General features: G+C 46.2%; 1 protein-coding gene across 1 annotated transcript in view, besides 6 other annotated features; it reads left to right on the forward strand.

Moving 5' to 3' along the window:
• The window catches only part of TRIM71 (tripartite motif containing 71), a 79,828-nt gene continuing 54,759 nt past the window's right edge, over positions 1-25,069 (forward strand). The window contains exon 1 of the mRNA NM_001039111.3: positions 1-936. Within this exon, the coding sequence (NP_001034200.1) occupies positions 85-936 (852 nt within the window). The 5' untranslated portion in view covers positions 1-84. The remainder of the gene's footprint in view (positions 937-25,069) is intronic.
• Positions 461-1,042: an enhancer, noted in NCBI's record as "H3K27ac hESC enhancer chr3:32859949-32860530 (GRCh37/hg19 assembly coordinates)". NCBI's record gives its function as "activates a minimal SCP1, AML or CMV promoter by ChIP-STARR-seq in naive H9 embryonic stem cells {active_cell/tissue: H9 hESC(naive)}" and the evidence as "EXISTENCE:reporter gene assay evidence [ECO:0000049][PMID:30033119]".
• Positions 17,087-17,287: a silencer, noted in NCBI's record as "peak4592 fragment used in MPRA reporter construct". NCBI's record gives its function as "represses an SCP1 promoter by STARR-seq MPRAs in K562 erythroleukemia cells {active_cell/tissue: K562}" and the evidence as "EXISTENCE:reporter gene assay evidence [ECO:0000049][PMID:32103011]".
• Positions 17,861-18,418: an enhancer, noted in NCBI's record as "OCT4-NANOG hESC enhancer chr3:32877349-32877906 (GRCh37/hg19 assembly coordinates)". NCBI's record gives its function as "activates a minimal SCP1, AML or CMV promoter by ChIP-STARR-seq in naive H9 embryonic stem cells {active_cell/tissue: H9 hESC(naive)}" and the evidence as "EXISTENCE:reporter gene assay evidence [ECO:0000049][PMID:30033119]".
• Positions 19,102-19,699: an enhancer, noted in NCBI's record as "NANOG-H3K27ac-H3K4me1 hESC enhancer chr3:32878590-32879187 (GRCh37/hg19 assembly coordinates)". NCBI's record gives its function as "activates a minimal SCP1, AML or CMV promoter by ChIP-STARR-seq in primed H9 embryonic stem cells {active_cell/tissue: H9 hESC(primed)}" and the evidence as "EXISTENCE:reporter gene assay evidence [ECO:0000049][PMID:30033119]".
• Positions 19,700-20,296: an enhancer, noted in NCBI's record as "OCT4-NANOG-H3K27ac-H3K4me1 hESC enhancer chr3:32879188-32879784 (GRCh37/hg19 assembly coordinates)". NCBI's record gives its function as "activates a minimal SCP1, AML or CMV promoter by ChIP-STARR-seq in naive and primed H9 embryonic stem cells {active_cell/tissue: H9 hESC(naive and primed)}" and the evidence as "EXISTENCE:reporter gene assay evidence [ECO:0000049][PMID:30033119]".
• Positions 20,895-21,490: an enhancer, noted in NCBI's record as "H3K27ac-H3K4me1 hESC enhancer chr3:32880383-32880978 (GRCh37/hg19 assembly coordinates)". NCBI's record gives its function as "activates a minimal SCP1, AML or CMV promoter by ChIP-STARR-seq in naive H9 embryonic stem cells {active_cell/tissue: H9 hESC(naive)}" and the evidence as "EXISTENCE:reporter gene assay evidence [ECO:0000049][PMID:30033119]".

The raw sequence follows: 25,069 nt of genomic DNA on the forward strand, positions 1-25,069 counted from the left end.
ACTCCCCCACCCACCTCGTCCGCTCTCTCCTCCTCCTCCTCCTCTTCCTCTCTGGTCTCCTCCCTCCTCCGGGCTGGGTTGCAAATGGCTTCGTTCCCCGAGACCGATTTCCAGATCTGCTTGCTGTGCAAGGAGATGTGCGGCTCGCCGGCGCCGCTCTCCTCCAACTCGTCCGCGTCGTCGTCCTCCTCGCAGACGTCCACGTCGTCGGGGGGCGGCGGCGGGGGCCCTGGGGCGGCGGCGCGCCGCCTACACGTCCTGCCCTGCCTGCACGCCTTCTGCCGCCCCTGCCTCGAGGCGCACCGGCTGCCGGCGGCGGGCGGCGGCGCGGCGGGAGAGCCGCTCAAGCTGCGCTGCCCCGTGTGCGACCAGAAAGTAGTGCTAGCCGAGGCGGCGGGTATGGACGCGCTGCCTTCGTCCGCCTTCCTGCTTAGCAACCTGCTCGACGCGGTGGTGGCCACTGCCGACGAGCCGCCGCCCAAGAACGGGCGCGCCGGCGCTCCGGCGGGAGCGGGCGGCCACAGCAACCACCGGCACCACGCTCACCACGCGCACCCGCGCGCGTCCGCCTCCGCGCCGCCACTCCCGCAGGCGCCGCAGCCGCCCGCGCCTTCCCGCTCGGCACCCGGCGGCCCTGCCGCTTCCCCGTCGGCGCTGCTGCTCCGCCGTCCTCACGGCTGCAGCTCGTGCGATGAGGGCAACGCAGCTTCTTCGCGCTGCCTCGACTGCCAGGAGCACCTGTGCGACAACTGCGTCCGAGCGCACCAGCGCGTGCGCCTCACCAAGGACCACTACATCGAGCGCGGCCCGCCGGGTCCCGGTGCCGCAGCAGCGGCGCAGCAGCTCGGGCTCGGGCCGCCCTTTCCCGGCCCGCCCTTCTCCATCCTCTCAGTGTTTCCCGAGCGCCTCGGCTTCTGCCAGCACCACGACGACGAGGTGAGTGCGTGGGGGCGTGTGTTTGTGTCCATCGGATAACTGCGTGTGTGCTCAACAGCGTTTCCCGGCCGGTCCCACAGCGAGGGGAGGAGGCCCTCTCCGGATTTGGTTTGTATTTCCTTTGGCTACGTGGCAGTCCTTGCTACCAAAGTAGATCATGACCTGGGAAGTATGTGGAAGTGGATTCTGTGTACGTGTCGCGAGGGGCTCCGAAAAATCCCATAGCGTGGGGTCCTCCCTTTTCTGATTTTAATTTCTGTGTGGCAAAACGCGGCAATCGTCTTGAGTTAGGCGTGAGTTGGGAGGAGATAGGTGTGTGTGTTTGTGTAGACGTGGCCTGCTCCTGCTCTTGTGGGCACACCAGAGGCCTCCCAACGTGCTGAGAAGGCGCTCCTTTATTTTCAGATTTTTGTTTGGAAAACTCATAGATTGTTGCCTTTAAAATGGGGCGTGAGCCCGGAAGAGATGGTTGTGTGGGTGAGTGCGTGGAGTTTGTGTGCCTCCGTAGACCTGGTTTCCACGTGCGCACTTGTGAGGGGAAGACTGGTTTTTTTGTTGTTGGGACAGCATGGCAGTCCTTGCCTCCTTATGTTGGGTAAGAGTGGGAGCGTCTGTGGATCTTTGAGGGCCAAGGGCCCCCAGTCTTAAGCCCTTCTCTCTCTGCGGCTGCTTCCTATATTGTTTAAAATGCGTGTTCTGGCCCCTGAATTCTCCTAGCGTGAAATCGCCGTTCGTGGGCCCACGGCTGCACCCCGAGATAGAAGCGGAATAAAGGGACGACGTTACCTTCACCAGCCTGAGTCTCTTGGGCCGCGCCCGCCTGCCCCGACTCCAAGCCCTACAGGAACCGGTTTCCCTGGTTAGGAGGTATCCACCCGGCTCAACCAGGGTCTCGACTTCCTTGGAAAAGACCAAGGCAGCCGTACGCTGCTGGAACGCCGGAGTGCAAAGGCTTTTAGGGCTACATTGCAACCCTCGGGCTCGATTTCGCCCTTTGGGCTGTCGAGTAAACATTTGCTTTTCACACAGTGTGACCCCTTTCTCCTTTCCACTTTGGTATTATGCGAGTGTCGTCTTCTCCCCCGAACCCAATGAAGGCAGGCCAAAAGTCTTGAGAAGCGGGCTCTTGCCGAGGGGGTCGGTAACTTAGGCGATCTACCTGTAGACCGGTAAGAGAGGGTGTGGGTGAAAGTCTTGACTTAGAGCGTAAGCTGGAGACTGCAGAGGCTTTAAAAGCCATAGTGGGGGTCGTGGCCTGTGTGAGCTGGAGAGTGGGTACCGAGCACCGCAAAGGTGAGCCCAGCGCCGCTGCCTTTTCCACTCCTAACCTGTTATTTGGGGAGGAGGGCGGAGCTATTGCCTGATGGCCTTTAGCTGGCTTCTCCTGTTGGAAAAAAGTTGAAATTCTAATCTACTTGTTGTAGGCATCTCCTTTTAAAAGGTTTCTTCTAGGTAAGAAGCTAGGGGGCAGTTATCTTTTTTTTCCGTTTTTAAACTTTGAATGGACTCCTAGTTTTAATATACTGTGGGTTCATGTTCTTTCATCACTTTTAGAAAAATGAGTGATTGAGGTAAATACCGATCCAAATCCCAGGAACAGAAAAATGGAGCCAATTCACTTGCAGTTTGGGATCAAATGCAGGGTGAGCAGAATGGGGTTGAATCCAGGAGTTTCCCCTTCTGAGAGGTGCTTTTAGTTTAAATGTCAGTTTATATTTCCAGTTAAAGATACACCTATATTTTATTTGGGCTGAAACAGTAGATGCTCAGTGTTGGCAGACTTGTAAAAGATTTATTCACTTTTAAAATTAGAAAACCCTTCAAACTGCATTGGGGAGTGTGAATTGAGAAGTGAAGCTCTCCACTCACCCTGGGAGGTACTCGGAAGCTCTTCAAATTCACTTTTTAGCATGTGCAATGTCAGGTTGAAGTAACTAATAATCCTTAACATAAAATTTGCTCAGTTTTGAGCAAGATTCTGCTTGCTCCCTTTAGCTTTTCATTAAAAACATTTCGGAAGTTGTTTGGCCTTTTTATTCATTCCTGGATTTAGAACGCTAGAAATTTGAGATTAAAGGTGACAAACCAGTGTTCTGAGTAGAAGACTAAAGTGTTAGGAGAGACAGCACTAACAGGTAGTGAGGTTCATAAACGGTTCCACCTACAGCTTAAATAATTCCTTTTCTTTTGATCTCGTTAACAGTTTGAGAATATTGTTCCTTTAAAAAGTCATCCCTCTCTGGCTGGGAAGGAGCTTTAGGACATTTTTGGAGGATGATAGACTGACCCATATCTGGACTGCGATACACTGAATGCCTAAATCCACATATTTTAATGTGTATACTGTCTACCTCAATTTTTAAGATGAGCTCCTTAACTGAGTTGCTTCCCTTGTCCACAGGCTCCGTTAAATAATTCAGAGTAGCACCTTTTCCTTATAGTGACTCAGGCCACCTGACCTTGGGAAGGAGGCCCAAACACCCTACCCCAGCCTGCAGGGTCTCTCGCCCAGGGGGACTTTCTTCCTTAAGCATCCCCTTGTAAAATGCCTTCTTAGGATTGGCAAGTAAGGTGTCTCGTCTGAGCAATTGGCTTTAAACCGTAATGATGATAACCTGGAAATCTTTGGGTTTTCCAACGAAATAATGAGACGTACTTGCTGCTACTCTTTTATTTTGGCTTATTTCAACAACATAGTTGGGGCTTTTCACTAGTTCTGTGCCTCCAGAGTCCGAAAGGCCTGCAGGCTCCGTGGCCCAGCCGGCATCCGGGCGGGGAATCCAAGGCGAGGAATCCGAGGTCGCCGTCCCCGGAACAGCTGGCCGCGGGCCCGCTGCGTGCCGCGGGTCCCGGGAGAGGCGGGCGCAGGTAGAGTCGCCGCGGGCCTGCGCCGCCGCCCGGCCAGCCCGGAGCCTGCCTCGGCTCTGGGGACGTGGCCTGGCCGGCGGCTGCTCTTCTCCCCGCAGGCACCCGCTGGGGTATTCACGGCCGCTCTGGTCATGGAGTAGGGTCTTCGCTTGAGTTTTGGGGGAAGAGTTTCACAACTAGGGAGTTGTGAGCGCTGCTCCAGCTGCTCACAAGTGACCCTTTAGTGTTGTTTTGCTTTTGGCACATAGAACGTGAGCCCTTTGCAGCCTTGGAGGCGACACCGGCAGCAGAAATGCTGGGTGTGTTGTGTGCCTAAGCTGGGCGTCAGGATTCTGTGAATGGCGGGAAGTTGAGCAGGGTTTGAACCCAGGAAAGCCTCTGTCACTAGCGGTGAGGGGCAGTGGGGGTGACATTGTTGCCACCTGGAAAACATTGTAGCCCGCCCCACCCGAGGATGGCAATATTGTTCCCAGTTAGGCAGGTCTGGGGGTGGCGTTTTCTGGAGTCTGGTTGGAAAAAGGGGTGCAGGTGTTGGTAGAATCCATGCGGTCCCTGTGTTGGGCTTTAAAATGCCTCCTGAAGAGAAAAGTTCTAGAATTCCAACTTGATTTGACCCTGAACATTGAGCACTCCTGGGACTGTCTCCTGGCAGGAAACTTAAAGTGGCTTCAGTCACTTGGAACAAGGAGGTTTGCTGCCTAAAATAATCGGTTGCTGTGTGAATTTGTTTTGTATATTTTAAGTCATATTGTAAATGGGACTGTACCTGTATTCAGCACCAGTGTATATTATTCTCTGTTCCCAAAGTCTAAGTTTTTTCAGGTCTGCATATACTCAGTGTATGCATGCTTATTTTAAATTATATTCATGTTCTTGCATAAATTATAAAATCCATACCAAAATATTTTTAAAAGCATAATACAAATTTTCCCACTTACACTGCATGTCGAAGTAATTCTCTTTTTAAGGGTGTGAAATGTAGGTATAGCTAAAGAACCACTTTCCTATCTTTTCCGTCTTTAGAGGCGATCAGATGTAACTAAGTTGGTGAAATTTATGATAAACTTTGAGAATTTCTACAAGAAATTGGCATTTTAATTGGAATCCGATTGATTCATATTAATTTCAACAAATTTTTAAAAAAAATTTTTTTAAAGGAAGGACAAGGAGAGAAAGTGAACAGAAATGGGTATTCTAGTATTTCTGTTACCTGCTTTCAACCTGCTCTACACTACTGGGTGAATATGTCCTCTGAGTGCAGACATCTCACCTACTGGCTGGAAAACCAAACCTAACTGCCTTGAAAATAATTACAGAGGTTGCTGCTTTGAATCCAGTTCAGCAGGTAGACATTAGGAAGCCTACTGAATTCAGAAAATGCTTGATAAAAATATATGGGAGGGAAATGTTCGTTATTGATATGTTAATTGCTTAGCCTTTGTGGGCTTAAGGTAGTTCCATTAAAGTGCATAGGAATGGATTTTTCAACATGGACCCTCAGGAAGTGGGCCACAGCTAGTTTGGCAAGCCTGTGCTGATGAGGTTGCCTTGAAGGCATAACCTGTCATAAACTGTGCTAGTAGTATGGAGGCTGTTGTGGTATCAGCACTGTCTGGGAAACCTTTTGTGATTATTTGTTCAGTTTCCTTCCTTTACAAAGATAAACTATAGTGGTTTTAGTGGTTTGGGGATTGCATAGATTTGATACAAGATTTTTATTTCCAATTCTAGGAATATACATTTTGGAAGACAAGATATTTGGGGAAAAAAACGTTACTTTTTCTAGACTTCCAGTTCTTCATTTGACAACGGTATTTGTTCTTTATCATTGACATTGTTTTCAAAGTGAAATAGTTGTACTTGAAATGGGGAAACCCAGGAGGCGGAGGTTGCAGTGAGCCGAGGGTGCAGTGAGCCGAGATCATGCCATTGCACTCCAGCCTGGGTGACGGAGCGAGACTATCTAAAAAGATACAGGGAAATCTTCCTAAAAGTGTTTGAAGAGGGTCAGGCGTGAGCCACCGCGCCTTTGGGAGGCCGAGGCGGGCGGATCACGAGGTCAAGAGATCGAGACCATCCTGGCCAACATGGTGAAACCCTGTCTCTACTAAAAATACAACAAAAATTAGCCAGGCGTGGTGGCGCGTGCCTGTAGTCCCAGCTACCCAGGAGGCTGAGGCAGGAGCATTGCTTGAACTGGGGAGGCGGAGGCCGCAGTGATCCGAGATCGTGCCGCTGCACTCCAACCTGGGCAACAGTGAGACTTGTCTCAAAAAAAGAAAAAAAAAAGTGTTTGAAGATTAGGTAAAAATTGCCATTTCCCATCTAGTTCTCCCTCCCATTGTATTATAGCTACTTACTTAATACTTTTATTTAGTCCTTTTGTTTTTTTCTGAGATGGAGTTTCACTCTTGTTATCCAGGCTGGAGTGCGGTGGTGCAGTCTTGGCTCACTACAACCTCCACCTCACGGGTTCAAGTGATTCTCCTGCCTCAGCCTCCCAAGTAACGGGGATTACAGGCGCTCGTCACCTTGTCCGGCTAATTTTTTTTCTTTCTTTTTTTTTTTTTTAAGTAGAGACGGGGTTTCACCATATTGGCCAGGCTTGTCTCTAACTCCTGACCTCAGGTGATCCACCTGCCTCGGCTTCCCAAAGGGCTGGGATTGATTACAGGCAAGAGCCACCGCGCCTGGCCCTAGTCCTTTTCTTAAGGCTGAGTCTCACTCATCCCAGGCTGGAGTGCAGTTGTACAGCTCCTTAAAGCCTTGACTTCTCAGGCTTAAGAGATCCTCCTGCCTGTGTCTCTCAAGTAGCTGGGACTACAGGCTCTAGCCATCACACCTGGCTAATTTTTGTAATTTTTGTGGAGATGGCGTTTCGCCATGTTGCCCAGGCTGGTCTCAAACTCCCAAGGTCAAGCGACCTGCCTACCTAGGCCTCCCAAAATGCTGGGATTTCAGTCATGAGCCACCTCGCTGGGCTAGATAGTCCTTTTCTTTTCTTTTTTTCTTGAGATGGAGTCTCGCTGTGTCACCCAGGCTGGAGTTCAGTGGCGCGATCTTGGCTCACTGCAACCTCCGCCTCCCTGGTTCAAGCAATTCTTCAGCCTCAGCCTCCCAAGTAGCTGGGACTACAGTCATGTGCCACCATGCCTGGCTAATTTTTGTATTTTTAGTGGAGACGGTGTTTCACCATGTTGGCCAGGCTGGTCTTGAGCTCCTGACCTCAAGGTGATCTGCCTAACTCGACCTCCCAAAGTGCTGGGATTCAGGTGTGAGCCACTGTGCCTGGCCCTTAGGTAGTCCTTTTCTAGAAGGATCTCAGGAGGCTTAAATGTCTAGTTTCCTCAAGTACTACTTAATATGGATGCAACTTTCTCCTCACATGTAAAATTATGAGCATAATTGGGCTTTATGTCTTTTCACTGAAAAAAGGAACTAATAATCGTGCATATATAGTAAGGGAGTTAGCTCTTGTGGAAGCTGTCAATGAAGTTAAATGGCTAAAACGCTTTTTTTTAAGTGGTTTGCCAGGGTAAAACGTGTTTATAAATTTTTCTGGTTCAAGAGAAATTTTCATTAAATAATTCTGTAGCTCTAAAATTTAACCCCCTCTGAGTTATTTCTGGTGCTAAAAGTCACATGGTTTGCCATTTCTCCATCCAGTTCTCTACACAGGGCAAGGTTTATTTTGTCTGTGTTCATTCTTAGCAAATAAAGGACCATTTCAGTGTCATTTTTGACAGGCAAAAGGGTGAGATGAATTCTATACTATGCAGGCAGTTTCAAAATACTGCTTCCCCCCTTCTCCCACTCCCACCCATAAAACTAATAAAGGTTAAAGGCCTGGCTCACTAAGGCTGTTTTTGCTATCTCTGACATTTTGGAAGCGAGCAAGAGAAAGATAATGATAAAGAATTACAGTTGCCTTAAGGGAGCAAGATGCCACCCATTGAAGCCTACTCCGTTACCGCTTTTCTTCTTGACCTTTCAAGCATTGTGGCTTGCAAGAGTAAGCTTGATCCATCTTTCCTCTAAAGCTGATGTGACCTCCTGCTTGTTCAATACTAAATTATTCCCCTCCTTTTGAGGTTTTGTCTATACTCACAAACTGAGTTGACTGAAACCAGATTGACTGTTTTGATTGACAAGACTCTGACTTGTCAACCTAAAAAGTGGGAGGAGTAGGGGGCCTAGTGGTGTCCCTTTACATTTGAAACTGTTTGACTTAAACGATATTCCAAAGTAAATCTTTGCCTCTCCCATGCCATCTCTTGCCTTCCTCATGCTGTAGATAAATGCAGTTTGCTTACAACTGGCTTTGAAGGTGGTAGAATGAAATGAAATGGGGGAAGATCCCACTCAACTCCCATCCAGGCAGGGTGCGGTGGCTTACGCCTGCAATCCCAGCACTTTGGGAGGCTGACGTGGGCAGATCACATAAGGCCCAGAGTTCGAGACCAGCCTACCAACATGGTGAAACCCCATCTCTACTCAAAATACAAAAATTAGCCGGACGAATCCCAGCTACTGAGGCTGAGGCAGGAGAATCACTTGAGCGTGGGAGGCGGAGGTTGCAGTGGGCCAGGATCATGCTATTGCACTCCAGTCTGGGCGATAGAACAAGACTATGTCTCACAAACAAACTCCCATCCAAACCTGAGTTTTAGAGATACTCATATTAGACTTAGGCTAATAGTTTTTTTTGTCATCCTTACTGTAGATTTTCTACTAATCCTAGATGGTTCCTAACCAGAACTTTAATTCCCATCAGGTGAGTTCTTTTTTTTTTTTTTTTTTTTTTGAGAGGGAGCTCTGTCACCCAGGCTGGAGTGTAGTGGCACCATGTTGGTCAGGCTGGTCTCAAACTCCTGACCTCAAATGGTCCACCCACCTTGGCCTCCCAAAGTGCTGGGATTACAGGTGTGAGCCACCACACCCGGTCAGGTGAGTTTTGTGTTTTGTTTGTTTTTTTGAGACGGAGTCTTGCTCTGTCCTGTCCCTGAGGCTGGAGTGCAGTGGTGCGAACTCAGCTCACTGCAAGCTCTGCCTCCTGGGTTCACGCCATCCTCCTGCCTCAGCCTTCCCAGTAGCTGGGACTACAGGTGCCTGCCACCATGCCCGGCTAATTGTTTTTGTATTTTTAGTAGAGACGGGGTTTCACTGTGTTAGCCAGGATGGTCTTGATCTCCTGACCTCATGATCCACCCGCCTCGGCCTCCCAAAGTGCTGGTATTAACAGGCATGAGCCACCGCGCCCGGGCTATGAGTTTGTTTTTAGTGAAGCTATAAATTATCAGTTGGCACAAAAAATTAGCAGTCAGTTGTATTTCACTCAAAAACAATTTTCCACATAGAAGTAGTAGTCTTTAGCAATAAAAATACTGTTTTCAGTAATTATGTTAGCATATTGAAGTTGTGATTATTGGGAATGAGGTCCTTTGTCATGAAGGGTAGGGGGATAATTCTTTTTTTTTTTTTTGGGTGGAGTCTCACTCTGTTGCCTAGGCTGGAGTGTAATGGTGTGATCTCGGCTCCTTGTACCTTCTGCCTCCTGGGTTCAAGCGATTCTCCTGCCTCGTCTCACGAGTAGCTGGGATCACAGGCATGCACCACCATGCCTGACTAATTTTGTATTTTTAGTAGAGATGGGGTTTTGCCATATTGGCCAGGCTGGTCTCGAACTCCTGACCTCAGGTGATCTGCCGCCTCAGCCTCCCAAAGTGCTGGGATTACAGGCGTGAGCCACCGCGCCTTGCAAGGGGGGATAATTCTTGATTGTGATCATTTATCTATAAGAGCTTCTGCAGAATAGCACATTTTGTCAACATTAATAGGTTTTAAAGCAGAGCAGTGGGCACAAAAAAGAATAAAGTGGGTGCAGATCAGTTGTGTAGACTGAGGACATACCCTCCTGGTTCTGACACCCTGTGAATTCCAGGGGCCCTTGAATGGACCTTGGAGCCTGAGTGGTCAATCAGGTCAGGCGCCTCTGAGAATGAGAGCCTTTGTAAACATCTGTTGGCTGCTGCATCCTGTAGCTGTTACTTCTGGAAAGTTTGGCCAGCCATTTTCTTCTCGTCTTAACCTTTTGCAGTTAAAATGTTTTTCTTGAAATGCCAGTGGATTTGGGGAAGTCGTTTCATACTCTTTTGGGACTAATTGGGATAATTATTAAAATGCTGTTGTATAAAAAATCTGCACTTAAGTTTTGCTGCTAAATATAGATTGGATGACTACTTAAGCACTGGTGTTTTAGAAATGAGAATTGTGAATGAGTGGCATCAGCAGCCATTATTACCATGTATTGGACACTTAAAGGAATTCAGGAGTTTAGATCATATATCTCCACATTTTGGTCTGTGCCCTCCGAGATCAGTGTCAAAGGGAGATATTTCTATTACTTAGGATTATCAATAGATTTGTACTGAAAATGCTTCCAGAAATGTTGTAGATAAGCATTGAGCAGGAGAGTAGAAAGTTTAGGTAACAGTTGGAAAAATGTAAGACTCCTGATAGGCAGTCTTAATCAAGTGTCTATTATTTGGCTTTGCTTGAGCACTCTGATTCTAGGTTAGATTCTGCTTTGCCTCAGTTTTTGCATCTGTAAAATGAGGGTAACTCTTTGCGGTGTTGTAAGGAGTAGAGCTGAAATATAAAGTCTCATAGCACAGTGCCCTACAATTGAAGGCAATTGTAAACTTTTTTTTTTTTTTTTTTTTTTTGAGATGGAGTCTTGCTCTGTCACCCAGGCTGGAGTGCAGTGGTGCAATCACAGCTTACTGCTGTCTCAACCTTCCCGGCTCAAGTGATCCTCCCACCTCTGCCTTCTGAGAAGGTGCATGCCACGATGCCCGGCTAATTAAAAAAAATTCTTTTTGTAGAGACTGGGTTGCACCATGTTGCCCAGGCTTGTGTCTGACCCTTGGGCTCAAGCCACCCTCCTGCCTGTCCTCCCAAAGTGCTGGGATTACAGGCGTGAGCCACCTCATCTGGCCCCAATTTACATTTTATATGACATGTTTGAAAACCACTAATTTTTCTTATAATTTTTTTGTAGAGACAGGGTTCTCACTTTGTTGCCCAGTTCACTGATCTTGAACTCTTGGCCTCAAGTGATAGCAATCCTCCTATGTCAGTCTCCTAGAGTACTGGGGTTACAGGCATGAGCCACTGTCCCCCACTAGAAAGCACTAATTTTTTTTTTTTTTGACACGGACTTTCCCTCTGTCGCCCAGGCTGGAGTGCAGTGATGTGATCTCGGCTCACTGCAACCTCCGCTTCCCAGGTTCAAGCAATTCTTCTGCCTCAGCCTCCTGAGTAGCTGGGAGTACAGGAGTGCACCGCCATGCCTGGATAATTTTCTTTTTTTCTTTTTTCTTTTCTTTTTTTTTTTTTTTTGAGATGGAGTTTTGCTCTTGTTGCCCAGGCTGGAGTGGAATGGCACGATCTTGGCTCACTGCAACCTCCACCTCTCAGGTTCAAGTGATTCTCCTGCCTCAGCCTCCCGAGTAGCTGGGATTACAGGCATGAGCCACCACACCCAACTAATTTTGTATTTTCAGTAGAGAGGGGGTTTCTCTGTGTTGGTCAGGCTGGTCTCAAACTCCAACCTCAGGTGATCTGCCTGTCTCCCAAAGTGCTGGGATTACAGGCGTGAGCCACGATGCCCTGCTGTCACCACTAATCTTTAAAGCCAAGATATTGTGTGGGGGCTGGGGAGAGGAAGGGAAACTGTGGCATATCAAGGAAGCAGATCAACTTGCTCAATGGAACAGTCTAATCTCAGCAACTAGAATATTTAGTAAGCATTAATGTCATGGTATTGTGTGTGTGTGTGTGTGTGTGTGTTTGTGTGTGCGTGTGTGTGCATTGGAGGAGGCATCTGAAGAGGAATCAAATCACAAGAAAGGCCTTAAGTCTTCATAGAAGAAGCTTCTCCATTACAAATGGGAATGCTGAGGCCTGGTTATGAAATGACTTCATCAGAAACTGTCCTGACTCCTAGTCTAGCACTCTTTCCACATTGCTATTTATGTGACAGTAACATGTGTTATTGACAAGTGTAGCTTTTTGAAATTAACCCTTAAAAATCTGCTTAATACTAAATTTACTGCCTGAATTTTTTTTTTTTTTTTTTTTTTTCGAGATGGAGTCTTGCTCTGTCGCCCAGGCTGGAGTACAGTTGGCATTATCTTGGCTCACTGCAACCTCTGCCTCCTGGGTTCCAGCATTCTCCTGCCTCCCCGGGTATATGGGACTATAGGTACATGCCACCGTGCCCGGGTAATTTTGTATTTTTAGTAGAGATGGGGTTTCACCATGTTAGCCAGGCTGGTCTTGAACTCCTGACCTCAGGTGATCCGCCTGTCTTGGCCTCCCAAAATGCTGGGATTACAGGTGTGAGCCACCGTGTCCAGCCTCTAAATGTTTTTGTTTTTTGTATTTTATCTTCCTGCTTTGACCTTTTCTAAGTCATTAAGGAGAACGTTAAAAAGCATAAATGGGCTCTGGTCTCTTAGCCAAAAACTGAGTATAACCATCTTGCAAAAAACCGCCTGTCATTCCAAAATTCATTTAATAGTAAGTATTACCAGAACGATAATTTAGCAAGGGAGAAAGCTTTGAGTTTTGTTAATCTCTTGAAATGATAACTCCATCTCACAGTATCAGGGTGAGGTGCATCCTCTGGGCATATTCTATTCCAGATTGCCGGGAATGGAGCTCATCTCCTGCTCCTGTCCCCATACCCTCTCACCCTGGCCCCAACACCTCAGAGCAATTTGGCATTGATGGATTGGGGATTTTTACACTAAGTCTGGCCTCTGTCGATATCAGTGGATTTAAGGACCAATTCCAGCTTTTGCCTGATTGTCAACTTCCAATGAGTTATGCAAGTTGGGTTTGACCCTCAGAAGATGCCCAAAGTCTGCCTTCATTCCTTTGCAGAAACAAAGGACACTTCTTAGTTTTCAAGCCATAGAATGCCTCCCCCTGCCCCAAATGTTGAGGGTTTTTTTTATTTGTTTTGATGTTTGTTTGTTTTTTTGCTGGAACTGGAGTGCAGTGGTGCAATCTAGGCTCACTGCAACCTCTACCTCCTGGGTTCAAGCGATTCTCGTGCCTCAGCCTCCCCAGTAGCTGGGATTACAGGCGCCCGCCACCACGCCTAGCTAATTGTGATATTTTTTAGCAGAGACTAGGTTTCACCATGTTGGCCAGGCTGGTCTCAGGTAATCCGCCTACCTCGGCCTCCCAAAGTGTTGGGATTACAGGCGTGAGCCACTGTGCCTGCCTGCAAGTGTTGAGTTTTGATGGATTTTTCCCCACGTTATATAGATGGGGGTGGGGGACCGTGGGGGATTTTGGAGATGAAAGGGGAAGAGTGGCTTGAAAAATGCTCTCAGCTTCTTGGTATAGGTAAGACCATGAGCTACAGAGTAACAACTGGATTTAAGTCCTAGTGTTGCCCTATGTGACCTTGGACAAGTCACTTAACTGACTTGATTTCTGACCGTTAAGATGGGAGTGATAGAGGTGGCTACATCTTCCAGACCTATTTGTGGGGAGCTCTTTCACATGAAGGTTCTTTGAAAGAGCTAGAAAAATTTATATTGTAATGTATGTGCCCATAACTGTAAATAATCATGAAAAAATTTGGCTTCAACTTTTCCTGCAAGTTGCAGCCAAACAGCTAGTTTCTTTTCATGAAATTAAATAATGTTGCTTATCTTCCTTTTTTTTTTTTTTTTTTTTGAGACAGAGTCTCGCTGGGATGCCCAGGCTGGAGTACAATGGCGCGATCTCGGCTCTCTGCAACCTCCGACTCGGGTTCAAGTGGTTCTCTTGCCTCAGCCTCCAAAGTGGCTGGGACTACAGGCGCGTGCCACCATGCCTGGCTAATTTTTGTATTTTTAGTAGAGATGGGGTTTTACCATGTTGGCCAGGCTGGTCTTGAACTCCTGACCTCAAGTGATCTGCCCTCCTTGGCCTCCCGAAGTTCTTGGGATTACAGGCATGAGCCATTGCACCCGGCTGTTATCTTCCTTAAAAGATATATTTTGGTTGATGGCCAAGCAGTATTTGATGCCATGAAATAACTTGGGCAGTTCCTCATTGCTGACAGAACTTGATGTGTTAAAATTTGCCATCAAAATATTTGAATGCCTGTTTCTGCTCAGTGTGAATTGTGGTCTTTGCTAAAGATGTATAAGAGCAGTCTACATCCTGTTCCTTGCTTTAGTCTTGTGGTTTGACTGTTTGGGAATATAAAACTGAAAAGGAAAAGGTGAATTGTGGTGGGGGGGGATTCTCTACTTCCCTATATGGCCACTTTATATGTGGTCTTATTTAAATTACTAGATGAAATTTAAACACTAAAGGTGGCCATGCACAGTGGTTCATGCCTGTAATCCCAGCACTCTGGGAAGCTGAGACAGGAGGATGGCTTGAAACTGGGAATTTCGAGACCTGCCTGGGCAACAAAGCAAGACCCTGTCCGTACAAATTAGCCGAGCACAGTAGTTGTGCCCCTGTAGTCCCAGCTACTGGAGGAGTGGAGAGGGCCTGAGGTGGGAGGATCACTTGAGCCCAGGAGATCAAGGCTGCAGTGCGCTATGATCATGCCATTGCACTTCAGCCTGGGCAACAGAGTGAGATCCTGTCTGCTAAAGTTAATGGAATCCAAATAAGTTCAGATGGGGAGATGAGTTTGAGGCTGAATGAACAGTACTCTTGGGGAATAGTCAGGTGTGGTGACACACATAGGTGTTCCCAGTTACTCAAGAGGTAGAAGGATTGCTTGAGCCTGGGAGGTGGAGGTTGTAGTGAGCTGAGATCATACCACTGCATTCCAGCCTGGGTTCCAAAGTGAAGACCCCGTCTCAATAAAAAATATTATAATAAAGATTGTAAAATTAGACCTTTTACCTAATTTTTTCTACTTCTTTCAACATCTGTAAGGAAGAGATAAGGGTACCCTCCTCTTCCTCCCTTCCTAGGGGGTGGACGATTGATAACATTGAAGAAATAATTGGTGTATCAGGGGCCAGAGCCACATTAATTAATAGGTAATATAAAGAATTATTGACTGGGCTGGGCGCGGTGGCTCACGCCTTAATCCCAGCACTTTGGATGCCGAGGCAGGTGGATCATCTGAGGTCAGGAGTTCTAGACCAGCCTGGCCAACACATGGTGAAACCCCGTCTCTACTAAAAATACAAAAACTAACCAGGCTTAGTGTTACGAACCTGTCATCCCAGCTACTCGGGAGGCTGAGGCAGGAGAATCACTGGAACCCGGGAGGTGGAGGTTGCAGCAAGCTGAGATTGCACCACTGCACCATTGCACTCCAGCCTCGGTGACAAGAATGAAACTCTGTCTTTAAAAAAAAAAAAAAAAAAAAAAAAAAAAGAGGCAGCTGTTTTTGTTCCCAAACCTGTTGATTGTAATTAACCCAGCTCAAGTAAAGATGAAATAGGAGTGCAGAATATCGTAATTTCTATGAAAACTGACTGGAATTTCTATGAAAACTGATTTGATAAAGTAAGCTCTGGGGAAACAGCAGAGAACAAAATAGTCCCACATCCCTCAGGCCCTTGTAGACTTCACATTGGGATAATAAGATGATTCCCTGCCTTTGCTGTGTCCTTAATCTGCTTCTGACTGGAGTGGAGGCTGCTGCTGTTGCACAGAGGGAGCATCTGTGGATGGCTGGTTTGGAACCCCCGGCTATCTCCCTGGTGTGAAGTAAGACATTCAGTGTGTGATGGTTATAATCTTAAGAGTGAGAGGGGGAGGTTGAGTACAGGCTGCAGGAGTACTGAGAATGCTTTTTTATTTATTTATTTATTTATTTATTTATTTATTTATTTATTTTATTTTTGGCTCAGGCTAAAGTGCAGTGGGAAGAATGACCTGACTTTTTTGTTTGAGAATCAAATGAAATATTTTCTGCAATATGCCCTGTTTATAAGTGAAGACATTTATGTAGAAATTTAAAGTGAAGGAATTCATATGCAGACAGTGCTGCATGGGGGCTAATGGGAGCACCTGCTATGCCCCACCCCCATCCTTGACCATTGGGGAAAAAAATGGGTTTTTGTTTGTTTTTTAATTCTTCATTTTCCTAAAACAACAGGTTTTTACTTCCTTTGTTTCTGTTGTTAGCTTGAAAAGAGCCTTCAGGGATTTAGAGGAATATTCCAAGAGGAAAATTCGTTTTTCCAATTTAATTTAATTTTTAAAACCACATAGGTGCTGGAAATACAAAGAAAAACCACAGCTCTGTTCAGCTGTGGACTGACCCAAATATTTGGAGCTTTGGGGCTCAGAGTTACCTCCATGTGTATGGATGAAGTAAGGTTTAAGTGTCTCCACTTTTAAACTGAAGTTTGGTAGGTGAAACCGAGTGATTGTGTTTGTTACGGTTATAAATGGAAACCATTTTAAGAAAGGATAGCAAATCCTGTCATAGCAGGAGATAGTGATTAAGTCTAGATGATGTTTGGGACTTGACACAACAGCTACAAATTTCATGTTAAGCCTGTTGTGCAATAAATCCAGACTTGCCTTGATTGAGATCCTACAGCTAAAGTTATCTGTCTTATCTGCAGCTTTATTGTTGGTTTATTTAAGTAGATTTTGTGTTAATTACATACACAAATGTTAACATACACAGGCATACAATGAAAGGCATTAAATATACCAGGGCTTCCTAGATCGGGGGAGTTTTACTTCTAGTATAGCCAGTTTTAAAGTTGGAAAACGAACATTTCATTTTCTTATAAAAGGAGGGATGGTGGGAGGCCGAGGCGGGTGGATCACAAGGTCAAGAGATCGAGACCATCCTGACCAACATGGTGAAACCCCGTCTCTACTAAAAATACAAAAATTAGCTAGGTGCGGTGGCGGGCGCCTGTAGTCCCAGCTACCCCGGATACCGAGGCAGGAGAATCGCCTGAACCTGGGAGGTGGAGGTTGCAGTGAGCCGAGATCGCACGGCTGCACTCCAGCCTGGTGACAGAGCGAGACTCCATCTCAAAAAAAAAGGGGATGGTGTTCACATTTGGCGTTTTGAGCATTCATTTTGTCTAGGGTCTACTGCATAATCTGAGCGCATAATTTGTCTGAATTTAATGACAGTTCATTCTATCAGTTCCTCTTTGTCCTAGCCCCATAGAACTTAATTTTTCCAGATTTTTTTGTTTGCCTGTTGAGATGTAAAACCAATTGTCTTCCCCATCAAAAAAGGTATGTAAAACATCAAATGGAATAAAATTTAAAAGTCATGTGCAAGATGAAATCATGAAGATGAGAAGGAGGTGATGTTAAGCTCTGGTTTGAGAGAAGAGGTTGAGTTTCAGGCTCTGCTGGGTTCCCGTTATTGGCATGTTACGGACATCTGGACAAATCACAGTTTTTGCATGTGTAACATGATGGGGGGAGTGGGGGCAGAATGTCCAAGGTGTAACAGTTCTGTAGCTTCAGCAGGTTAAGAAACATTCTCATTTTAATTTCTTGACTTTACACCTATTTGTAAATGTTATCACTGTGAGAGGGTCCTCTCCCCCTCTAAATGGTAAAAGCAGACAGGTTGGCTCACTGTGAACAGAAAAGAGGAACCCGGATCAATGAATGCTTAATCAAAAGTATGTTAACACTTGATAGGAGTGAAAAAGGGAGGGAAGGGGTTACAATTTTGTTTTAAATGTGTTTAAAAGATAACATTTAAGGGTTTTGGGAAAATAACGTTTTGTTTAGAATTCACAACACTTGTCATTTTAGGCTGTAATTTTTCTGAGTATGTTTATGCCTGTGAGTATAATATTTGATGTTTTTCATTTCTCCTTCCTTCACCATCCTTGGTCAGCTCATAATTGCTGGATGAATAGAAAACTGAGATTTTTCTTGGGGATATCTTTTATCCTAGGAAGTAACTTTAGTTAACTCTAATCCTGATTTAATTATAAGTAATATATAAACCTATTTTGTTTGGATTATCTGTAAATTTTATTTTTAAAATGTACCCCGTCCCACTTCTTTCCAAAGTTGTGGTGTACCAGGTTCGTGGGGCTCCTTTCAAGCAACCATTTACATACACAAGCATATAGAGGTTAGTCTTAAAAAACATGTGTAGGTGCTACCCTGTACTGACTTGCTGGTCATTACTTGCTCTAAACTTGGCCTTTATGGTGTGAAATTTATTTTGCCTTTTTCTGCTTCTGATTGCCTCTTTTATTTGGCTGTTGCCAGCAATGCTCATCCTTGTGTCCCTGTAACCCTCTCTTATAGAAGGGAGATCTTCCCCTCCCCCGACAGCTCCCCCAGCAAGGAGATCTCTAGAACCCTGGAGAGGCACGTTTGAGATGTTAATAGATCCCAGCACTTTGCTCCGGAGAGCTTGCCTTCCACCAGCCGCATTTCCTCCCTCCCCACCCCTCCCTTATTGCCATCAATCTAATGAAAAAAATGGCTGGTCCTGTTGTTTTACTCTTCATTTGTGCAATTGCTATGAGGTGTGCATGAGCTTTTCATATGTTTACTGGCCATTTGAGTTTTCCTCCTGAATTCCCTGCTCCTGTTCCTGGGCTGATATCTTGGGTTAAAAAAATTCAATTTGTAGGCATTTTGGATAAATACTGATTACTAGTTGTGTGTTACAAAGGATTTTTCTGAGGCCATAGTTTGCCTCCATTTAGTTTAACTTGGTATACATTTTAAATTTTTAGTGTGATAGATGTTTACTTCCTCTACATTTTGTGTCTTTAGGTCCCACCTTAGAATATAGTCTTGGTATATCATAGAAGGTGGATCTAATTTTATTTAGAACAAATAACGAGCCTAATGTTCTGTCTGTTAGTGAATGGTTTCTTGTCCTTTTTTTCTTTGTACCTTAGCTTTCAGGGAAGCCATTCTGAAAATAGCTGTTGGCTGTGGGTGAAGAGTAGGTATATGAAGGCCCTTAACTTGTGAATGCCAGCTGGCTTGCAATCAGTTGAGTGTTCATGCTTCGTGGCCATATACTGGTAGCTATTATACTGGTAGCTATTAAGGAAATAGTCTCTGCAGACGTTCAGTTATTCACAGCAGACAAGTGATGATGCTTATATTGGTCTAGGTCTTGTTACAAACGACCCATTCCTTCAGCATGTACCTATTCCTGGGCTGGGTCTTTCTATACAGAATTGCTATCTTATAGGTGCCTTTTCCCCCCAATTTTTATCTTCATTGGATTTTTAAATTACAAAAGAAATAAGTAGTCACTATAACACAGGCAAACTTGAAGTAGATTAAGAAAAAAACAACAACTTGCCAGTTTCACTCCCCAAATGTAATCATTGTTAACAGCGTGGATAATGTAATTGTTCTTATTTCCTAAGCGTATGCAATGCCATCTTTATGACTGTCTGTAATTTAGTCGTGTAAGCATTGATATAAAGGTGTTTTGAAATATATATTGCATTTTGTACTGTCTGTAATATGTCTGTGCCACCACCACCACAATCAAGATATAGGACATTTCCACCAGCCCAGAAAGTTCCTTTACTGTGTGGCCTTTTAGTACAAATCTGTGGAGAATTTGGCCTGCTTTTCTGGTCATGGGTCTCAAAAGGATTTATGAAAAGTATAGTTTTAGGGGCTGTGGATATGGTCAAATCTCTAATGATGGAAAGTTGCAATGTCTTGATGTCCTGGCTTACTACTGATCTGAGGATAGTTGTAAAACTTACTAACGTCGCCGGGCGTGGTGGCTCATGCCTGTAATCCCAGCACTTTGGGAAGCCAAGGTGGACGAATCACGAGGTCAGGAGATCCAGACCATCCTGGCTAACTTGGTGAAACCCCCTCCCTACTAAAAATACAAAAAATTAGCCAGACGTGGTGGCACGCACCTGTAGTGAAGCTGAGGCAGGAGAATGGTGTGAACCCGGGAGGCGGAGGCTTCAGTGAGCCGACATTATACCACTGCACTCCAGCCTGGGTGACAGAGCGAGACTCCATCTCAAAAAAAGAAAAAAAACCTCCTGAAGTCTTTACCTCTATGGCATTTAGCTTCTGAGAAGGCCCAGATTCTATCTCTTCTGTGTTTAAGACATTTGCTGTTTCAGGGCCACAATGCAAATGGCCAGGGCACATTGTTTTCCTCTGAGCAGATGCCTGCTGGGAGGCAAATTCCTCAAGGATTGCTCGGAAAATGTGGATGTGAATTTTGCTCAATCAACACACTTTTCATTGAGCATCTGCCATGTGCCTGGCTATCCGGGTGTTTGAGGACACAAAGCAATAAACAGGGCTTGCCTTCTGGAGACCCTTACATCAGTATAAAGGGAGGTAGAATTACCGGGGATTTGCGGTTCCATGGATAATGATGTACATGTAGAAGTACTAAATTATTTTGGATTAGGTACTATATGCTTATTATTATTATTATATTTTTTTGAGACGGAGTTTCACTATCGTTGCCCAGGCTGGAGTGCAGTGGTGTGAGCTCCGGTTCACCGCAACCTCCTCTTCCCAGGTTCAAGTGATATTCCTGCCTCAGCCTCCCTAGTAGCTGGGATTAGAGGCTTGTGCCACCATGCCCAGCTAATTTTATATTTTTAGTAGAGACGGGGTTTCTCCATGTTGGTCAGGCTGGTCTCGAACTCCTGACTCAAGTGATCCACCCGCCTCTGCCTCCCAAAGTGCAGAGATTACAGGCGTGAGCCACTGCACCTGGCCTTTTTTTTTTTTTTTTTTAATCAAGCATTTTAGGGGCATGCAGTGGAGAAGTGAAGTCCTAACGCAGAATGCCAGTTTCTGTGTATTCTCCCAGAGGCAGTTGATATAGGGGAGCTAAAGCTCTTTGGTCCTTGGAGGAAGGTTGCTTGTAGAGGCTAGTGAACACTTATGAGAAAGTTCATAGCTTTTCAGGCCTGTTGGTCAATTGGATGTGACAGATTGGTGGTTTCCATTCCTGAAGACTATCCCTCTTAGGAAAAATGTGGATTTTGAGCTCCTTTTTTTTTTTCTTTGTTGAGACGAGGTCTCGCTCTGTCACCCAAGTTGGAGTGCAGTGTTGCGATCTCAGCTCACAGCAACCTCCTCCTCCCGGGTTCAAGTGATTCTCCTGCGTCAGCCTCCTGAGTAGCTGAGATGACAGGTGCATGGCACCACGCCTGGCTACTTTTTGTATTTTTAATAGAGTCGGGGTTTCACCATGTTGTCTAGGCTGGTCTTGAACTCCTGACCTCAGTTGATCTGTCCGCCTTGGCCTCTGGGATTTCTGAGCCGCCATGCCCAGCCTTGAGCCTCCTTAATCAGAAATCTAAACTTACAAGGACATTTCACTTCAGGGGTGTGAGTGGAGGGTGTTTCTTGTCATGGACCAGCTATTATACATGCCATTCAGAACCATCTTTCATGGATGATAAGGTCCTGTGTGAAAGTGACATGAGTTTTTTTTTGAGACAAGAGTCTCATTTGGTCACCAAGGCTGGAGTGCAGTGGCATCATCTCGGCTCACTGCAACCTCTGCCTCCCGGGTTCAAGTGATTCTCTTGCCTCAGCCTCTTGAGTAGCTGGGATTACAGGTGCGTGCCACCACGCCAGGCTAATTTTTGTATTTTTAGTTAGATACAGGGTTTCACCATGTTGGTCAGGCTGGTCTCGAACTCCTGACCTCATGATTCACCCGCCTTGGCCTCCCAAAGTGCTGGGATTACAGCGTGAGCCACAGCCCCCGGAAGACGTGATGTTACCAAGGAGGAACGTCTGACCCGTCAAGCCCCAGAACTTACAGTAGGCTTTAGGCTGTTTCCTCTGTGCATAATTGTTGAGTCTTCACTGTAGTAAGTCGAATTGATTATTGAGCTTTTTTTGGGGGGGGGGTGGGGGTGGGGTCCCTTATCGCTTTTATCACTCGGCACTAGCAGGGTTCAGAATTGGTTTCTCATGTCTAATTCTTCCCTCATACGTGGATCTGCTGGCAAGTCAGAGGTTGCTGGGCTGGAATTGGGTAAGGGCATTGAAGGTGGGGTGCTGCCCGGGGAAGAGGGTAGAAGAGCCACTTGCAGTGGTCCCAGAAGAAAGACCTGAGTGCTTTTGAGGAGCTGGGTGTTTGAAAAACTGGGAAGCACTTTGCTGAGGACTCTACTGGCGATTAGAACTGTATCTACAAAGCAAATGTTCAACTAATGTTTACAGAGTTAATTCAAACGCTCCAGTTTAAAAACTTGCCACCTCTGCCCTTCAGAGCAAGAGAGAACCTTGCTGCTTTGTAAGTCTGCCTCAAAATGTCTTTCCCAAGGCCTCTGCAAGCCTCCTCCAAAACAGGAGTTGTTCATCTCCTGCTCATCTGAAGATGTACCCACTGTATTGTCAGTGGAAGAGTGCACCAGCACAGGGAGGGAGAAAAGTTTGCATTCACCAATTCCTTTTCCCCACCCCCCTTCCCTTCCAAAGGTCCTTTTTGCTGGGGATCTCTGATTGGAATCTCCCTAGAATCATCTCATGTTGATGTAGGCACTCTTTTAAATAGGCCAACAAACCCCGCATTCTGTGCTTTGAAGGACAGTAAAATGTTTGCACTGGTTACAGTAAAAGCCAGTACATAACATGAATACAAAGACCCTCGAGATAAAGTTAATGATTAAATTCAGAGGTTTTGGCCTATTTCCTATAGAGATTGCTCTCTCCTGAACTTTACTCCATTATGTTTAGAGACAAAGCCCCGAAATTGCCTTCTGTGTTTATAAGGTCCAATTGTAATCTGTGCTGGAGACTTTCCCTTGAGTTTTCTCCATTCCTCCGACAGGGCATGCAGTGGGGGTAGGCTTCCTTAGGGCCCCTTGCTGGGGCTGCTTTCTTCTGTCCAGTTTTGTTTGGATACCACCCCCAACCCACATGCTTGGGGCAGGAGGAATTCCTCCCTGGGCTCTTTGTTCAGCAGGAATGGCTGCCTCCTGGAATGTTGATCACCTTGGCCCAAGTGGCTAACACTGGTGAAGCCTTGCGACTCTGCTGCTGGGGAGCTTTCAGGGCTCAGCTGGGGGTGCAAGGGGGCATGCTTCTGGCCCTGAGTGGTGGCCTCCCTTCTCAGTCACCCCGGGCTGGTCTAAGTGAGCCAGCTTTTATCTTATCCACAAACTAAAGATTCTATCCCTTCCTCATTTAAAAAAGCCTGGCTGGGCGCAGTGGCTCACGCCTGTAATCCCAGCACTTTGGGAGGCCGAGGTGGGTGGACCATGAGGTCAGGAGATCGAGACCATCCTGGCTAACCTGGTGAAACCCCATCTGTACTAAAAAACAAAAAATTAGCCGGGCGTGGTGGCGGTCGCCTGTAGTCCTAGCTACTCGGGAAGCTGAGGCAGGAGAATGGCATAAACCCGGGAGGCGGAGCTTGCAGTGAGCTGAGATCGCGCCACTGCACTCCAGCCTGGGCGACAGAGCGAGACTCTGTCTCAAAAAACAAAACAAAAAACAAACCCAAGGAGCCAGGCACAGGGGAAATGTGTGCCCTGATTGTATCGATAGTACCCTGAGTGTGATATTATACTATTGTTTTGGGAGATGTTACCATTAGGAGAAACTGCGTAAAGAATACTAGGTATCTTTACCTAGTGAGGTGGCTCACGCCTCTAATCCCAGCACTTTGGGAGGCCAAGGTGGTTGGATCACTTGAGCTCAGGAGACCAGCCTGGGCAACACGGCAAAACCCTGTCTCTACAAAAAAAATACAAAAGTTAGCTGGGCGTGGTGGCGTGTGCAGTGAAGCAAGATTACGCCACTGTACTTCACTGCACTCCAGCGTGGGCCACGAGTGAGGCCCACCGCCAACCCCCACCCCCCAAAAGAAAAAGCCCCAGAGGCAGGGATTGGTTAATAAGTTTAGTGCCGTACATTCTTTGGCTTAACGTGGTGGCTTCTCTACTGATGAAACGTTCTAAAGTTTATTGTTTCCTTTTTCAAGAGGTTTGTGGGACTTCACCTAACTTGGACCCCCAGGACTTACCAGGAAGCTTCCTTTTTAATTTATTTTAATATTTACTTCTATTTTAAAAATTTCTGTAGTGACAGGAGTCTTGCCATGTTGCCCAGGCTAGTCTGAAACTTCTGTACTCAAGTGATCCCCGGCCTCCCAAAATGCATGTGCCACAGTGCTCAGCCAGGGTGCAGTTCTTGGAACTCACGCCATACACCTAGGAACAACTCCACTCGCTTCTGAGCACCTGTCTCTACCTGCTTTGCTCTAGCACCATAAAGATTGCCCCTGTAATTTCAGCAGGGATTTCCCCACAGCTCAGCAGGGAGAGAAGGGAGAAGAGAAAGGAAACTCTCAGTGCTGGTCCTCATATGCTGAGGAGGGGAATTTGCAGATTCCATCACTGTCTAGATTTACTGCTGGGAAAACATTGTCCGTTTTGAAAACTGTTAGTTTGATAATGGCATAATTATTTATTGTTGGTCATTTTGCTTTGACTCCCAGGAAGCTCAGAGCCAAACCATGGTCTCAATCCAGGAAGTCCCATCCCGCATGCTGCTCTCCTTTCATGACTCAAGCTTGCCTGTGTTTGTCTTCTTTGTAAGCTGCTTTTCTTAGATTTGGGTGAGAGTTCCTGAAAAAAATTTCAGTAAAAATTGAGTATGATGGGGTTGTAAATTGTCCAGGATAGACAGGTTTTGATCCAAGAAATCAGACTGCTGAGTTAGGTAAAAGAATTAAGCCATTGTACCAGCATAGCACTTGTCAAATATGCATATAATCCCCATGTATGCTCTGTCCCTTCCTGGATAGAGTCCAGACCCGTGCCAAGGGGCGGGTGCAGAGTCTTGCCAGCATGTGCCTCACAGAGAAGTCGGGGCAGTGAGGACTACAAAGCTCTCCTCTGTAAAAATCAAAGTGATTTGAGAAACCCCAGGGTTATTCATGTCCCCTTATACAGACAGGCCTTAGCCAGGTGTAGGCTCTTCTGATCCCCATCTCCCCACCCCCACCCAAGAACCCTCTGTTCTGCAATTTGGTACATCTTGAAACCCCTTCTTGAGAGGTGAGAGGAAGTGGTTAATCCCCACTTCCTTCCCTGGGAGTTTTATGGGCCTCTGGGAGCCTGCCTTACTCTGGCCTTAATGGTCATAAATGACCCTCTCTCAGGGCAGGGCCAAGCCCCTATGAGTCTTAGGTGCTTAATAAATGCTTTTTGATGGTGATTCCCTTGGTCTTCTGTAATTGGAGGGCGGGGGTGGGACTATTTATAGGATTATCGGGGTGTTGGCCACAGCCCCT

This window comes from Homo sapiens, chromosome 3 (assembly GCF_000001405.40).
Source record: "Homo sapiens chromosome 3, GRCh38.p14 Primary Assembly".
Taxonomy (NCBI): Eukaryota; Metazoa; Chordata; class Mammalia; order Primates; family Hominidae; genus Homo; species Homo sapiens.